The 16749-nt window shown below is 46.2% G+C and overlaps 1 protein-coding gene across 8 annotated transcripts in view, besides 1 other annotated feature; it reads right to left on the bottom strand.

Moving 5' to 3' along the window:
- Nucleotides 1–16487, bottom strand: part of NHSL2 (NHS like 2) — a 242442-nt gene extending 225955 nt beyond the window's left edge. For all 8 annotated transcript variants that reach the window (NM_001438805.1, XM_047442065.1, NM_001438806.1 and 5 more), the window contains exon 1: nucleotides 15965–16487. In NM_001438805.1, the coding sequence (NP_001425734.1) occupies nucleotides 15965–16244 (280 nt within the window). In that variant the 5' untranslated portion in view covers nucleotides 16245–16487. The remainder of the gene's footprint in view (nucleotides 1–15964) is intronic.
- Nucleotides 6911–7411: an enhancer, noted in NCBI's record as "H3K4me1 hESC enhancer chrX:71139771-71140271 (GRCh37/hg19 assembly coordinates)". NCBI's record gives its function as "activates a minimal SCP1, AML or CMV promoter by ChIP-STARR-seq in primed H9 embryonic stem cells {active_cell/tissue: H9 hESC(primed)}" and the evidence as "EXISTENCE:reporter gene assay evidence [ECO:0000049][PMID:30033119]".

The raw sequence follows: 16749 nt of genomic DNA, 5'->3' as shown, positions 1-16749 counted from the left end.
TCTTCAAGGCACATTTTTGGTTCTTGTTCCCTCTGGCTGACTTTCACAGCCTGACCCCATTGAGTCCCTCCCTCTGATCCGGCCCTCATATGCACATTTGTGCTGCCAACCCGATGGTCAGCAAGATGGTGAATGAGACGAAGGAAGAAGATTCCATCTGCTCCTTGTGGACAAACTGCTTAGTGAGAGAAGGCTTGCTCGCGTATTTTTGGAATTTCATGAATTTCTGTCTCTCAAATGAAGCATACAGTACTGTCAAGAGGACAAATAATTTAACCTGGGTCTCCAAGAGTGGGTCCTCTGAGCCATTAACATTCCCAGCCCACTCTCCTTTATAGAATTATAGACCGAGCTGCAATAAGTCTCAGAGACACCCCAGTCTCTCATTTTACAAAGGGAGGAATCAGGACCCAGGAAAGAGAAGGAACTCACCAGAGATACAGCAGGTACTCAATAAACATTTTGTTGCAAGAATGAAGGACCGATGATTCATATGCTCAAGAGGTGAGGGGCACAGTCTGTGAAATGGGACCAAGCTATTCTTTATCTCAAGTGCTTCATGTAAACCCCACACCCTGAACTTAGTAGCACCATTTGAGGAGGCACATTTTAAAAGTACACATGTCTGGACACAACCACAGAGATTTTAATTTAATTAGCCTCAGAGGTAAAGCCCAGACATTGGTGTATGTATATATATGTATATTCTCAAGGTGATTTTAATGAACAGCCAAGGTTGAAAACCACTGCTCTAAACCAACGGTTCTTGAGCTTGATTGCACACTAAAACCCCCGAGAGCAGGTTTAAAATTTGAGTGTGTGTGCACACACACACATCAATGTTTTGTTCAAAGTGTGCCCGGTGATTCTAAAATACAGTTAAGGTTGAAAACCAAAACCAGTATCTATTACTTGACAGAGGGTAATTGAAAAGAAATAAGTCATAGTTTATCTACCTAGTAAGTTCCACGAGGACAAATATTTTGGCCTCTCTTGTTCACTCCTGTATCTCCACCACCTAAAACAGTGCAAATGGTTTCTTGGTTTTCACTTCCCACTTGCCACTGTGGGCAGGTCAGTTTTAATATCTCTGAGTCTATTTTTTTCATTTCTCAAATAGAAGTAATAACTCACAGGGTTGTCATGGGAATCACATGAGATAACAAATGTAAAAGAGCTTCATAAATTAGAAAGAAAGGCAAAAATGCTAGTTAATTTCACAGAGAAAACTCAATTTCCTGTTTTTTCTCCCTGTGCCCCCCCAGACATTTTAACTCTTTTTTTAATCTCATTGGATATGTTCCTGCTGAATCTCTTGCAATCCACTAGAAAGCCCTCCATCAGATCCTATCCCAACTCAGTGCATTGAACAAAATCTCCTCCCTGATAGTGGTAAAAACACATTTCTTTTCTGATCCTTGCTTTCAGTAAAATCTATTCCCCATTGATTGTGATGGAGAACATGGATGGGCATTCAAATTGTGGATGCTCAACTTACTCCATAACTCTAAATTGTTTACTCTTCTCTGAGCCTGTTTCCTTATCAAGAAAATTGAGATAATAATGGTAACTATTTCATGCAATCATTGTGAGGATAAAATGAGTTAATGATGTATATATTGTCAGGCACACAGAAAGCTCTTAAAGATAACAATAAAAACATGGGTTTTTGTCCAAAGGTTTTTTAAATTAGAAAAGGAGTGTCATCTCAAGTATAAAAGTAAGATGAGGGTGATCTAGCTGTGACATCTGTCACTTTCTGCTATCTGGAGTTTATTTGGCTGGCCAAATAGAAGTGCAAAAACATAACCCAGGAGGCGGAGCTTGCAGTGAGCTGAGATCGCGCCACTGCACTCCAGCACTCCAGCCTGGGTCACAGAGCGAGACTCCGTCTTAAAAAAAAAAAAAAAAGTGCAAAAACATGCCACTCCCTCTCTCTGTTAGTCACTCAGAAAATATGTATTGAGCACTTACTGCATACCAGGGCAGTGGGGGAAAACAGACAGGAATAAAATACAACCCTTGAGGAGTCTGGTGGGAAACCTAAGCTCTTAAGACAAGAGGCATCAGCCCAGACACCACTGTCAATTTGGCACTGGTATATCCTATTGCAGGCAAAATATCTAGGAGTCAATAACCACCTCTTGGGTGTTACGAGGTTCACAGTATTGGTAATGGCAAAAATTACCAAAAAAGCTAAGGGTAGGCATTAACTAATATAGCGGATTTATTAGATAACATGCAGAGCTTTAAAGAAACACAAAAACTCATCTCTTACTAGGCCAGTTAATCATTCAACAAACATTCACAGTGTGCCTACTTCCAAACTAGATTTTGAAGAAAAAGGAATGAGTCAGCCACTATCCTTGCCCTAAAAGATGATAATACATAACATTTGGGGAGGGGGGGTGATTTTTTGTTTACAAAGCCTTTTCCCATACAGGCTTTCATTTGATCCTCCTGACAAACAGAAAACAGAGGCTCAACACCAAAAATTACCTCCATTAGCAAATACTGGAATTGGGCTTACATTGGGCAAAATTAGCAAAGTAAGCCAAGTTCATAATCAGGGCTCTTTCTACTCTCAAAGGCCCGTCACTAGCCTACAACCACCTAATGTAACTCTGATTTCCCTTGAGCTAGAAGGAACTCTTTATATTCATCTAAATGTATTGGGATCAGAAGGCCTCAATAGTTCTACTCTGTTTCCAAATCCTCACAACCTTTAAGATGGGCTTTAATTCTCCTAGGAAGAGACCTCTAACTTCTAGCTTCCAGTTTATCTTAGGCCAAGGGATGGCCAGGGTGTTCTTTCAAGTTCTAAAGAAGAGGGTCATATTACTTTTCAAGAGGTGGTAAAAGAAGGAAATAAACATGAATTCAAAAATGGTCAATACATACTGGCAGTCTCTGCCTCCTACCCATAGGGTAGGCTACCTGGAGGAACATAGTGAAAAAAGTATAGCAGGAACATAGTGAAGGGAGTCAGAGAGGGCCGTAAACAGGAAGGAATGCCTGAATAGAAATCTGGAGGAATGAATAAGAGTTTTCCGGAAGACACGAGAGGAAAATGCTATGAAAACCTTCCCTGCCTCAGTACTCTGTGCTTTTCACATTGGACCCTATGTGAAAGGGTCTGTAGCGAGGTCTGCAGCAAAGTTGTCTTCTTCCATACTGTCTCCCCAACTAAATGCTAAGACTGAAGAGCAAAAGGTAAGTCTTTTCACTTTGGTATCACCAATACCTGGCAAAAAGCCTGGCAAAGTTATAGTACAATGAGTGGGGTAGGAATTACCCCTCAGAGTCAGCTCTAAATCACCAGATTAAAGATAAACTGCTTTCCTTTATTAAAGAACAGGAAAATTAAAGGGCAGAAATATCTCAGCTACACCAAAACTCACCATTTCAAAGCCCATTTAAACAGAACACAGAAAAGTTTTAAAGCCATAGTGAAGTGTTAAATGATTTCCATGTTTTCCCATCTAGAACCCAGAAGCAATGAGCCACCACAATTAACCAGTAACTCTGGCTGTTCATTGTGGAAAGCAGACATTTAGCCTGGATCCCCAGACAGGAGCAGCACAGCCACGTCAAACAACAGCCTGCAGCCTGGGCATCTGGAGGGTGGATGTTTCATCACCATAGAGAGTAGCTCTGCCAGCAGGGACGCAGGAGGGGTGGAGCTGGCAGCAGATGGGGCGAGTTAAAGCCAGTGGGGATTTAGAGGGGCTGTCCTATAAATTATCCAAGAACAGGGTATATCACTGACATATTTCTGTATACCTGGTGCCTGGTGGCACCTGGCACTACAGGACCACTTATACTGTTGGGCAAGTTGTATTCCTACAAGGGTACCCTGCAAAGGGGTCTCAAGTTGGAGACACAATTCAGCCAAGCCCAATGCCTTGTCTGACTGCACATGGAGGAAGAAGTACCTTTATCTAGTTACTATGCCCAGAAAGGGTGACTTTTTAAAATTGGTCCACCCAGAGGATACTCCATATTTTAATACTTATTACCAGAAAAGGGGACTTTTTCTAATTGCTGTTCCCAGAGGATGTGCCTGTCTAAAGATTCCACCAAAAAGAGTGGCTTCTCCTAATTAATCCACCCAGGGAAAGCACCCTTTGCCATCCCTCTACCTGGAGGGGACACCTGCTTGCCAAATTTCTACCAGCTCCCTCTGGCATCTTACGAGAGTGAAATAAATATTTAATAGGACAAAGAGAACCTTCTCCTTCACTAGCTCTTCCCCTTCCCTCATGACCCCACACCCCATGTGCATTAGGTAGTCTGGAAGCTACAGACACAAAATATAAAACTTCTGTGCAAGCCAATAACATTTGTTTCCTAAATCTACCATTTTCATTAACTCAGAATTATGGGAAAAAAGATTTCATTGGGCTATTTCGCAACAGGCAGTAAACTTATGTAACTCTTTATTCCAAGAGGTAATACAGGCTGGAAATTGGAATACAGGGAGACTTTGCTATCCAAAATCCTCAAGAAATGAGTTCTCTTAATGGGTAAGTTTCCTGGGAGCTGGAATGTTTCCCACTTTTCAGTATTTAATCTTTTCTTCAATTTTCAGCATTTCAAGTGGAACTCTTCCTGAACACACCCTTCTCAGCCTTCTTAAACAGATTCCTCTGAAGATGCTGAAGCCTCTTTTTCTTTTTTTAAATACAGTCAAGTTCTCGCTATGTTGCCCCAGCTGGCCTTGAACTCTTGGGCTCAAGGGATCCTCCCGCCTCAGGCTCCCAAGTAGCTGGGACTACAGGCCCGTGCCACCTCTCCCACCTACAGCCTATTCTTGATGCCTTATTTATCATCCTCGATGTACAGTATTGCTTGGGAGGCAAACTATAGGGGTTACCTTTAGCATCTCCCCTCTCTGATCACACTATGGAGGGATGCCAAAAGTGCCCCCCATAGTTCTCCCTTTCCCTTTGTCCCCCTTGCCTTCGTATTTCCCAGGGGGGCTGCTGACAGGGTCACATAAGTGGATGTCTCAGGACCCCAAAATAGCCACAAGAGAGGTTCTGCACTGGAAATCCAAACACACAGCCACCTACCCAGAGATCCCTTTGCCCCAGTCCTCTTCCTTTCTCTGGGTGAGTGTTGGCCTAGATCCACATTCTAAAACTATTTCTGTTGCGATCATGAAGGGAAAAAAGATAAATACTCTTTCTTCTGCATTGCATTTGTTGAAGTATAAATGGGATTAAAAATACTCAATACATTTATACATTCTACTGTGCAACTGGGATGAAGAACCCCTGTTATAGATGGTTAAAGCTGGGAGAGACCACTCCAAAGTTTCCCAACTTATTTGAACACACAATCCTTTACAAATTATATTTGTGGATACAAATACAAAATACAAATGTGGATAATACATTTCACTCTTATGCCGTATTATTAACACAATAATCTACCTGCATGAAAGAGTGTGCCACATCAGAGAACACGGGAAAGCACAGAGTCTGATCTAGACGTTGATTTGGAGGCAACCATTCCAACTTCTATTTGGAATTTCTGGCACAGCCTATTTCAGAACACTAAATATTACGACTGGAAGTTTCTTTCCTCTTGCCTATACTCCGATGAACTCGTGCATAGTGGAGTCGTTATATTCTGTTGCAAAGAAAAATAAGTTGAGATTGACCTGGTGTAGGGATCCAACCCAGTAACATCATGGGTGATATTAAGTGGCGGTGACGTAAGAAAACAAAAATGCTATTCTTGTTTAAAATGTTAGTGGGTTTTGATGACGTGTTATAACCAAAATATGTAAAATAAAAGATGTTTTACTCTACTTCATCATATATTTATCCTTTTTATTAATAAAATAAAATGGTTTCATGTTTCTAATTTCCTATGTTCTCTCTCTCTCTTTTTTTTTTTTTCAGAGACGGAGTTTTGCTCTTGTCACCCAGGCTGGAGTGCAATGGCACAATCTCGGCTCGCTGCAACCTCCACCTCCCGGGTTCAAGTGATTCTCCTGCCTCAGCCTCCTGAGTAGCTGGGATTACAGGCATGCGCAACCACACCCGGCTAATTTTTTGTATTATTAGTAGAGACGGAGTTTCACCATGTTTGGCCAGGCTGGTCTCAAACTCCTGACTTCAGATGATCCACCAGCCTCGGCCTCCCAAAGTGCTGGGATTACAGGCATGAGCCACTGTGCCCAACCCCTATGTTCTCTTATAATGTTAAAAAATATATTGGCCGGGAACGGTGGCTCACGCCTGCAATCCCAGCACTTTGGGAGGCCAAGGTGGGCGGATCACGAGGTCAGGAGTTCAAGACCAGCCTGACCAACATGGCGAAACCCCGTCTCTACTAAAAATACAAAAATTAGCCGGGCATGGTGGCGGGTACCTGTAATCCCAGCTACTTAGGAAGGCTGAGGCAGGAGAATCACTTGAACCTGGGAGGCAGAGGTTGCAGTGGGCCGAGATCGCACCACTGCCCTCCAGCTGGGCGACAGAGCAAGACTCAGTCTCAAAAAAAACAAAAACAAAATATATATGTAACCTAACCTCGCATTATTACTGCTTACAATTAATTCATCTGCGAGATCATTTTTTTTTGTCACTTACTTTAATCTAAGTCTGCATCATAGTTCATGCTCATTATCCACAAGTATAATTTGTAAAGGATTGCGTGTTCAAATAAGTCAGGAAACTGGGTCTCTCCCAGCTTTAACATCTATAACAGGAGTTCTTCACCTAAGCTGCACGGTAGAATCACATGGGAACTTTTAAATAGTACTGTTTCTTGGGCCTCATCCCCCAGAAATTCTGGATTTATTGGTATGGGGTGGAGCCACAGCATTAGTACTTTTTTTTTTTTTAACATTTAGGGTAAATTCTACCAACATGTTGTACTGATTACAGAGGACTTTGTTTTAAGCATCACTATATCTTGGTCAATAATATCTATTGGTCTACATAATGATTTTGTATAATTACTAAGAATTTAGCAAAACATTAACAATTTAAAAAAACTCTCTAGGTGCTTTAGATTGGCAGTCAGAGTCTATATGAGTCTACGGCTGTAATTAAAAAATGAAAAATGCAATCAGACATGCAGTGTGAAGGATTCTACCCAGGGAGATGGCTGGATTGCCTGGTGGCCAGGGCATCTTGTAGACACTGCTGAGGTGTGCCTATGTCCTTGAGGCTGCCTGGCTGTGAGCTCAGGTTTTCCTCGCTTCATATCCACGCTGGTGAGAGTTAGGCATGCTGGGCCCTCAGGCAAACTGCCCAGTACTTTACTGAAACACGCTTAGGCCCCATAAGTTCTGTGAGAAGGTGTTTCTTCACCCATAAACCAGGCTGGTTCTGTAAAACTGGTGAGCTCAACCAGGAGCCATGCAGACATCCCAAGGGGAAGAAAACAGAGAGCCAGTGAGACACTTGGACAAGAGCTCTGCCCAAAGGCAGGGGACACTGCCTGGCTATGCGGCTTGCATCCATCCTCTGCTGCTTCATTAAAGTCCCTCCTTGGCATCCCAGCCTGGCAGGTTCTGTGGTCAGCCAGCACCACATATTCTCTGTGACAATAAACATCTCATAGCTGCCTTGACTCTTGGTGGTGCCTCAGCTTCAGTTCCAAAGAATGTTTTCCCCCTTGGTTGGCGAGGCAGTGAACAGATGTCAGTGGGGGAGAATGAAGGGAGGAGTCAGAGGAAAGGAAAATCCTCGGGTTGGGAAAGATGAGCTGACAGCCTCAAAGGCTAGATGCGGCTCCTCCGTGGGCACACAAACATTCTTTACATATTCTGGAAAAGGGAAGAATGGCTGCAATTCATAGCTGTCTAGGAACATTCTTATTATAACTTCATCTTGACAGTACCCCCATCCAGGGATTTCAGCAAGCTTCGTGGAATTTCACCTTCTTAGTATTTAGTGATGGTGTCCATGGTTGCAGCATAGGCACCAGGCATTTCATTAATACATACATTATTTTGGATCCTCACAACAACCCTGTGAACTGGGTAGTATTTAACCCCATTTTACAGATGAGGAACTGTGGCTCAGAGACACTAGAGTCAGATAGTAGGTGCTGGGCAAGTGGGACTTCACCTGGAAGCTGACGATTCCAAATCCAAAGATCCTTTTCCTTAACATGTCATCCATTGTCTTTTCTATTTACTAAAAGTAATAGATGTTGATTGGGGAAATTTTGACAAATACAGAATGGTAGAAGGAAAATACTACCACTCATCCCCATAATCCCATCACCCTGAGATAATCATTGTCAGCATTTTGGCATAGGCTTCTCCAGTTTCTTCTTATGTGTATGTGTCTGTGTGGGTGCTCTGTTTTAGACGATATTGTATATAGTAGTAAATTTTATCTTTGGTTTTTACTCAGCATTATTTTGTGCATTTCCATGTAGCCTTATAATTCATTTAGAGCATAGCTTTTCATGGCTGTATATTAGTCTATCACATAGACCTAGGAAAATTTATATAACCACTCCCCTATTATTGAATGTGTAAGTTATTTTCCTTTTTCTGGCTAATGCAAATAACCAAAAAATGCAGTGGGGGTTCCCTGCACATTTTTCCCCCCACAATATCTGATTATTTCTTTAGCATAAAATCCTGGAAATGGAATTACTGAGTCAAAGGAGACACTCAGTGTATAACAACAAGGCCTGTCTTGCTGACAACTCGGAGATACCACCTCCTGCAAGGGCAGAGAACTGCCCTCCCCCTCAGCCCCCAAGGACAGAGGATGTTAACGTAAGGAGACCTCAATCACCTCCGGGCCTCCTAGTCTGGGGGAATAATTTGAGTTTGGTATTTTTCAGTTACTGGGGATCAGGCTATAAATTGTCAGGCAGCTAATTACACTGTGCTCGGAAGCAAATGATTCCAGTCAAAATAAAAACAGATGATAGATATTTTTTAAAAACTCATCTCCTCTTTGAGTCCATTTTAAAAAAAAAAAAAAAATTCTGATTTTCCCCTTGATGAATTACAGACGATTCTGAAGAATCTATGCTATTCAGAAAGAAAAATAATAATAAAAGATATCGTCAAGCCTCAAATTTCCCCACTCACAGAAAAGCAGGGGCATAAATAATACATTTAGCTTTGGAGTGCAACTGGATACACACAGCCGGGGACACACAGGCAGGTAGACTCTTGCTTTCTCTCTCTTTCTCACTGTGGCTCGGAGCCCCTCCTGCTCTGTCTAGCCTTTTTAGAGGGGCCCAGGGCCTGGCCCTGCAAAGCATGAAGGAGCCGAGGTTGCCTGGGTCTCATCTGCCCAAGGATAATGAAAACTTGAGTGTAGATAAAGAAAATCCACAGTTAGTTAATATTACAACTTCATTTGAACCATGCAGTTTAACCTTCTCAAGACCCTCATATCCAACTCCCTGACGAACAAACAGGATGTGAGGAACTTCCCACCCCACCTCCACCCTGGGGGCTTATTCTGAGTCAGGAGGTGCCTTGCTCCCTCTCCTCCTGAATCACTGGCAGTGAATTCCTCCCCCACACCAGCTCTCTCACATATCCAGGGCTTTGCACAGGCTACTTCCTGAGCCAGGAATTCCTTCCCCCACCTTCTTCAACCTTCAACGGCCAGCTCCAGATCATCCTTCAGAACTCAGACATCACATCTTCCTGGAAGCTTCGCTCAGCCTCTGTCCTGAGTCAGGTGTGCCTCCTCTGCCTTGCCCCGGTAGCCTAGACCTTATCTCCACAGCACTATGGCTCACTGTTCTCCCCACTGGACTGTGGGCCTGCATCCTAGTTCTACTCTGTACCCCCAGAAATCAGCACAGGGCAGGGCCCAGAGTCAAGTACTCAAAGAGTGTGCGATAGCTAGAAAGAAAGAAAGAAGGTATTCAATCTAACAGGTATTTATTAAGTGCCTATTAGGTGCCAAGCATTGTTTTGGGAGCTGGAGACACAACAGTGAAAACAGATAAAGACTACTACCCTCAAGGAGCTTATATCTTATTGAGGAGCTTACATTTTAGAAAGAGAGGGAGGGAGGAAGGGAATGGAAGGGAGGAAAGGAGGGAGGGAGGGAGGGAGGGAGGGGGGAGGGAGAGAGGAAGGGAGGGAGGAAGAGCTGCCTAATTGCTCAAACCTCCCAAGTTAACTGGCTGATACCTAGTGGTCTTGTGCATGACCTCATACAAAGCACTTTACTGCAAACTACCTGTACACTTAATAAACATACCTCCTGTTTGTGGCATTATTAAAGTAGTCTTGACTGTTAAGATTGCCATCCTGTGCCCTCTAACTTGAAAACTTCAATGAGGGCTTATTTGAGTGAAATTGTGGAGTTCCACAGAGCAGGGGAGAGCTGATAGCTTGAACCAGGAAGGCCAGCGATTCCCAACTGACAGTAGAGGACTCTAGAGGACCATAGAGTTATCACAAGAAGTCTGTTAGTTTGCAGATCCACCAAGCATTGTCTATGGACTGAATAAGCACTACTCTTCATATGCATGAAGATAACATTATAGTGTTTAAAACTGCAAATTCATTTAAAAGCATTGCTAAATTCACAATAACACTAACAGAATGACAGATTGGTTTTTATTTTTGTTTTTACCATAGGGAATTCTAAAAGTCCAAATTCCATCTTTGGACGCCAAACCGGACTGAGCAGAAGAATCTTCTGGTATGTGAACTAGGGTCCTGGTTCTGGTTATCAGCTCTCCTCCACCTAAATAAGACCTGATTCCCAGGCACCACATGCTGATGTGGTCAGGAATGAGATGGCACCTACCTCTGCAGCTTGGCAGCTCCTCGAATGGAGACATTGGGTCTTATTCACCTCTGGGTCTTTAGCACCCAGCACAAAGGTCAGACAGGGTCCAGACGCAGTTGTGCCCACTTTTCGAGGCTAGAAAATAATGATCTAAGGAAAAGACGATTTGAGGCCTTCAGAAAGGGAATACAGCAGCAAAGCCAGTGAGCCTGTTAAGCTACTTGAGCACTGAAGGATAAGAAATCCATACCCTGTAAATGTGTATGCTAAATGCACTTTTGGTAATAATGTTACTTTCTTGTTCCCATTGGTTTTTAATAAAAGGTGCCTTCTGAAATGCCAACCAGCCTCTACTAGAATAACAGAAAATAGTCAGGATGCAGGTGTGTGGCAAGTAGTGTCTACAACTGGATTGAAAGCTACAAGGGAGAAGAACAGGTATAAAGATGGCAGAGGGATCAGGAGGGATTGCAACAGTGTCAGGGTCACTGGCCAGCCACCCCTTCCCACCTGAAGATCCTTTTTCTGGAGCAATTTTCCATTCAAAGAAGACTATGTTTTGCTTTAACAAGAGAGCCTGTTGCCTCACACCTATTCTCTATATTCTCTATATGAGAAAGTTTGACCTTCCTTTCTCCTCTCCAGCTTCAGCTCACCCCCGGCCACAACTACAGAACCACAGGGTGCCCTCAGTTACTAAAGGTAACAGGAGTTATTTCTCATCCTGGACAAGTTCCAACTAGAGAAAATGCCAAGAAAATGACTCTCGAAGAACAACTGACTTTGAACTTAGCATCACTGCAGAGGGCAGAGCACTAGTCTGGTTGTCAGAAGGCATGGCTTCTAGGTGGAGGCCTCCTGTCACTGACCTGCTGTGTGACCCAGCCGGTACCACATTCCCAAATCAGCAGATTAAATACATGATTAGGCCACCAACAGCAGGGGTACAAAAGACAGAGAGGAAGGGAGAAAGAATCTAGTAAGATATTTTAATTTCAACATCCATGTGAGCTTTGAGCCATTTAAAAAGAGTAACATTTTTGTTTAAAGGTTTAGTATTGCTTTCACTTGGAATTACATATGGGGAGGCACTAAAATCTTTTCAGCACTCATGACTACTGAAGGTCTTGATCCAGCTGGGTGCCTTTGGACAGGTACCTTCCCCTTTCTGGGTCCGGGATGTCAAGTGTTATGACACATATGGTGGTTAATGACTGAATTGTTGGTACCACACCAGAGAGGTACAGGAACAGATGATGTAAATATACCACTCTCCTCCTAAAACCTAATCAATGTCGTCAAGGTCAAGGTTGAGCCCAAGAGCCATAACTTGAATCTTCTCCTATTACTCTACTATTCCAACATCCTGACACTTTTATCACTTTAGCTATTCATGTGTCTTAAAAAAGAGAAGATTAAATGTCTTGTTTCTAAAGTGGAAGAAATTCTAGTGGACATTTTGGTATCCAAATCTCCAGGGAAGATGTTTTCAACACATGGAAATACCATGAAGCAGACCAGGAATTTCATGGTATTTAAAAAGAAAATGGAAAGCAGGGTGGGGTGGGAAGAGAAAAGAAAATGGGTTTGCTTCTCCCTCCATACTCTGTCAACCCTCTGTCCCAAGAGCCTCGGGATGAAACGTACCACAGAGACAAAGTAAGCCCTGGCTGAGTGCCTGTTCCAAGTCCCCAAATTCCTGCCACCCTCCCCACTCCATCTGACTCAAGAGGCCATCTCTTCTCTTCATTAGCAAGGACGGTCAGACTCAGGGTCCACAACACCTCATCTAATGGCAAACTCATTGCAGTCTGGAGGTGCTTTTTTCATTTTTTCATCTCCGTATAGATTTACAACAGTCTATCCTCACACTGGAATTATGATTTAAACACAAATAAACCAGCTGTCCTTTCTGATTTGGAGCCAGAGTTGCCATAAAGTTGGAAAATCAAGAAGTAGGAATTTTACATAAAGATGAAGAGGGAGTTTTCACCACGGACCCAACTGGCTGTATTCAAGCCAAAATAATTGTAAGAAGCAACAGAACATCTTTCCCACAGCAAGTTCATGAGCTAGTGTAACATGATAGTTTTCCAGTGTTATTAAACATACCTAGAATTATCTAGCCCTTCAGTGACTTCCTTGATGGCAAAGGAGATATTATATCCCTACGCGGATGGCCTGATTGCTTTTGTAATTATCATCTAAGCACCTACAAACATTATATAGATCTCCAAGGGAGAAGTTGGAAAGCTTAGATTGACTCAGCATATGGTGGCAGGCATGGAGCTATTTCCCAATGGCTTTGACTACACCATTTTTTAGATGAAGAACCCAGTGTACAGGCCACAGATGCCATAAAACAGGACACATTCAAAACCAGATGTGGGGAAAACCTCAACTTATAGGCAGGGCCATGCCTAGGGTGTGGCAACTGCCACAGATCCACAACCACAGGGGCCTTCGGCAGTCCTGTGGTCTACCGTCTCCTCCTTCCATCCCCATCTCCCACACCATACCAGTTACAAGAGCTTTTAGGGCAGTCTCAAAGGGGTTCATGTTACCAAAGAACAGCCTTCAGTGGAGTGGGTGGGATGTTGCGAGGCAACTAGCCTAGCCCAGTCCACCCCTGTAACCTTGAAGATGGTGGGGGCATGACCCATGATTGTGATTGTGTAGAGAAGCACCTTCAACTTCTTCAGCATCCACTTTCTCCTCCTCTATCTCGCTCCTCCTCTCTCTGTCCTCCCCTGCTGCTTCTCAGGGCCCCAGCCCAGCCTGCAGGCTATAGGCCAGTCTGACTTGCCACTACTCAGTCAGTGGCAGCCAAGTTGTCACTGCAGGGAGGCTATATACTGCTGGCCTGTCAGCTGTCATTCACTCTGGCCATGTTGCTTTCCAACCTTCCTCCCACCTTCCCAGGTTTCTCCTGCCCCATGGTCAAAATAAATAGCTAGAGGAAGAATCTGAGGGCAATCCAGACAGATGGAGGATATGCAGGGTAAAATGCTGACCCCCAGCAAAATGGTCAGTAAGGGAGTGGGAATCCTAGGAGGAAAACGCATAGGGAAGAAAAAAGGGCAAGACATGACAATGTTCATTTATTTACTTACTTACGGTCAAAATCTAATATTCGGCTTGCTAAACACCCTGTTGAAGCTTATGCCTGAGCGACAAGGGAGTGGCCAGATGGTGCACTGATTACGCTCCCCAACTCTCTTTGCATTTGGCACTTATGTTCAGACCATTGCTGAGAAGGCCTAATTTCAGTGCTACCCAATTACAGCTCCTGAAGAGAAAAGTGTGCACTGAGAACTTCAAGGGGAGTCTAGGGTAGGGCATTAGACCAGAAAATGGAAAATCAGACCTTTTCACCAACTTACAGAAGGTAGCTGTGTTCCATTTATGCAGCAGTCCCTTGGGTGCCTCTGAGCCGTGGGACATGTACATTCTCAAAAGCAAGAGGCCACACCAGGGATGAGAGATGGCCACTCTTCCTGCTCTTGAAAACTGCCAAGAAGCCAAACCAGTGGTAATTTAACTTAACAATTGTTCCTCTCCATTGCAAGCTATCCATTGCATAAAGCCATCTCCTTCTAACCTGGCAGATCACCGGAGAGGGTTAGGTCCCAAAGGTGACTTGGTGAAGCCCTGCCTTCCCTCCCACAGAAAGGGCTTGCTAATTCAGTGGACAGGAAGGTAGAGTTGAAAAAACTGTCCTTAACTTACCCTACTGAACTCAGTAGGTGGCTCTCTGCAAACTGTGTAGGGATTTTGAAAACTACTCCTCAAGCTGACTTATCAAATTTCTCCTAGACTAATCCTGTAATCAGTGGGACCCCAGCAAAAAACTGAGCCCCTGCCATGCAGAGGCTCCTGGTCCAACGTCTACATTCCATCTGGCAGTCATCTGTGGCTTCCACCTTTCTTTTCCAATAGGACTCAGTTCATTTATCTCCACCAGAGACCTCTGCCATCTACCTCAGAGGTCAGAGACCTTTATGAAGAGAGGTGCCAGGGCCTGACTCCAGTCCTTCTGGAAGGGGTGGGGATGGGGTGGGGTCTGCAATGAAGAGGGGCTGGCCCAGGCAATTCTTTCCCAAGTTAGCTGGAAGCTTGCACTCAGAAATCAGCCAGCAGTCATCTTCTGCCCCCATTGGAAACTTTCTGGCCACACTGCTCCTTCTCTCCCCAGCTTTCTGGAGGAACCGATTGGCCCTGGTACCTGGCATGCCCCAGCTGTAGTCAGCATTTCCAGCCTACTCAGTCCCCTTGCTTTCAGCAGAAGTCCCACACTCTCAGGGGCACTGCATTTCCACAGACAGAGGATTCCCCGTGTAAAGTGCTGGGATCCAAAACAGTAAAGGACAAGGGCTCGCGTAGCCCCCCTACCCTCTCACACGTCCCGCGTGCTCAGTGAGGGCACCACTGGAACCTGGTTTCTCAGGCATGGCTGATTCCTAAAGTGAATGCGCTTCAGGAAACTGATGATAGTTTCTTTAAATGATTCTCTCCAGCAAATAACAGCCAGACCCTAGCGGTAGTGGGTAGGGGGTCAGCAAAGCCCCGGACATTCTCCCCTCCCCCCTCCCGGCCACTCCCCAGCACAGCGGCCCAAAACGTGCGGAGAGAAGCAAGCGGGAGGACGCTCAGACACTCCTGTGAGTGGGAGCCGCGTCCACGCTCCAGCGGGAAGTTGCACAGGTTTAAAGCCTGTAGGCACCACCGCCGGCTCCTGCCGCCGCGTAGGTTGCGGTCGGCTGCGGCGCGCTTTCTGAAGTGGCCGAGCTCCTAGACAGGAGCAAAGAAGCCAGCGGCTCGGCCATTTAGCTCCCGACGCGGCGATGAGGACGGCGCCGAGGGCCTGGGGCTAGGTGGGCGGGTAGGGGGAGTATCGCCCAAGCCGTCCTGGACCCAGCGCGTCCCCAGCCAAAACCCCAGGAGGCGGCCACCAACCCCAGGGTCGGGAGTCCCAAGGGCACGGGGCCACTCCGGACGGCGCGACCGGGTCCAAGAGCAGGAAGTTCCAGCGGTAGGGCGACCGTGGGGCGGAGGCGGGGGTCGGGGAAATGGGATCCCCTCACTCCCCGAATGGAGGGGAGGGGAGGGGCGGAGAGAGGCGGGGAGAGGGTGGGCACAGCGCTAAGCGCCGACCGGCGCCCCTAGAGGCGGGGTAGACGCGGGGCCGCGAGCCACCGGGGCGCCGTTTTTACCTAGCTCTTCCTCGTCCTCCTCCGGGCCAAGCAGGCGGCAGGGAAGGCGGCGGCGGAGGCGCACGGTGCGCCGGTACAGGCTGTCTGTGCGGCGCCCCAGGGCCAGCAGGTGCCCCTCGAGGTCCTCGAGCAGAGCCAACGAGTGGCCACAGAGGTCGGCGAGCTGCCGGAGCAGGCTGAGCGCTGCCAGGTGGCTCACGTCGCGGAGCTCCGCCAGCTGCTGCGGCGGGTTGCGCGGGCACAGGCGCTGGGGTACCACCGTGCGCCTGTAGAACGGCATCCCGGCCGCGGGCGCGGGCGCAGGGGACCAGTCTGGCGGCGCGGCGGGCTCACCCCGAGCAGCGCCCCTGGCCCGAGCGCCCCTGAGCGGCGGCCCCAGCTCCGGGTGTAGCAGGCCCCTGGGCGCGGGCCGGAGAGCGTGCGGGCGCCAAAGACGACGGGCGGGTAGGCGGGCTGACGGGTTCCTCGCCTAGAGCGCCGGCTCCCCCGGGGCTGCACACTCGCCGGAGCCACCAGTCCCTCTGACTCTGCTTCGCCGGGCTCCTCCTCCTCCTCCCCCCTCCTCCTCCTCTCTTTTCTCCTCCTCCTCCTCCTAGCTCTGCTACTTCGGGATCCCCCCACCCACCTTTTTTTTTTTTCTTCTTTTGCGGTCAGAGATTCGCAGATTAACGCTTGATCCGGGAGAGGGAGAAAGGGAAGTAGGAGTAAAAAGAGCGAGCTGGAGCGTGAAAGAAGGAATGTCTGCGTGAGGGGGGACGTAAGGTACGGTGTAGAATGTGTGCCCC

The sequence above is a fragment of the Homo sapiens genome, chromosome X (genome assembly GCF_000001405.40).
Source record: "Homo sapiens chromosome X, GRCh38.p14 Primary Assembly".
In the NCBI taxonomy this organism is placed as follows: Eukaryota; Metazoa; Chordata; class Mammalia; order Primates; family Hominidae; genus Homo; species Homo sapiens.
This window is presented reverse-complemented; position numbering and strand designations above follow the sequence as displayed.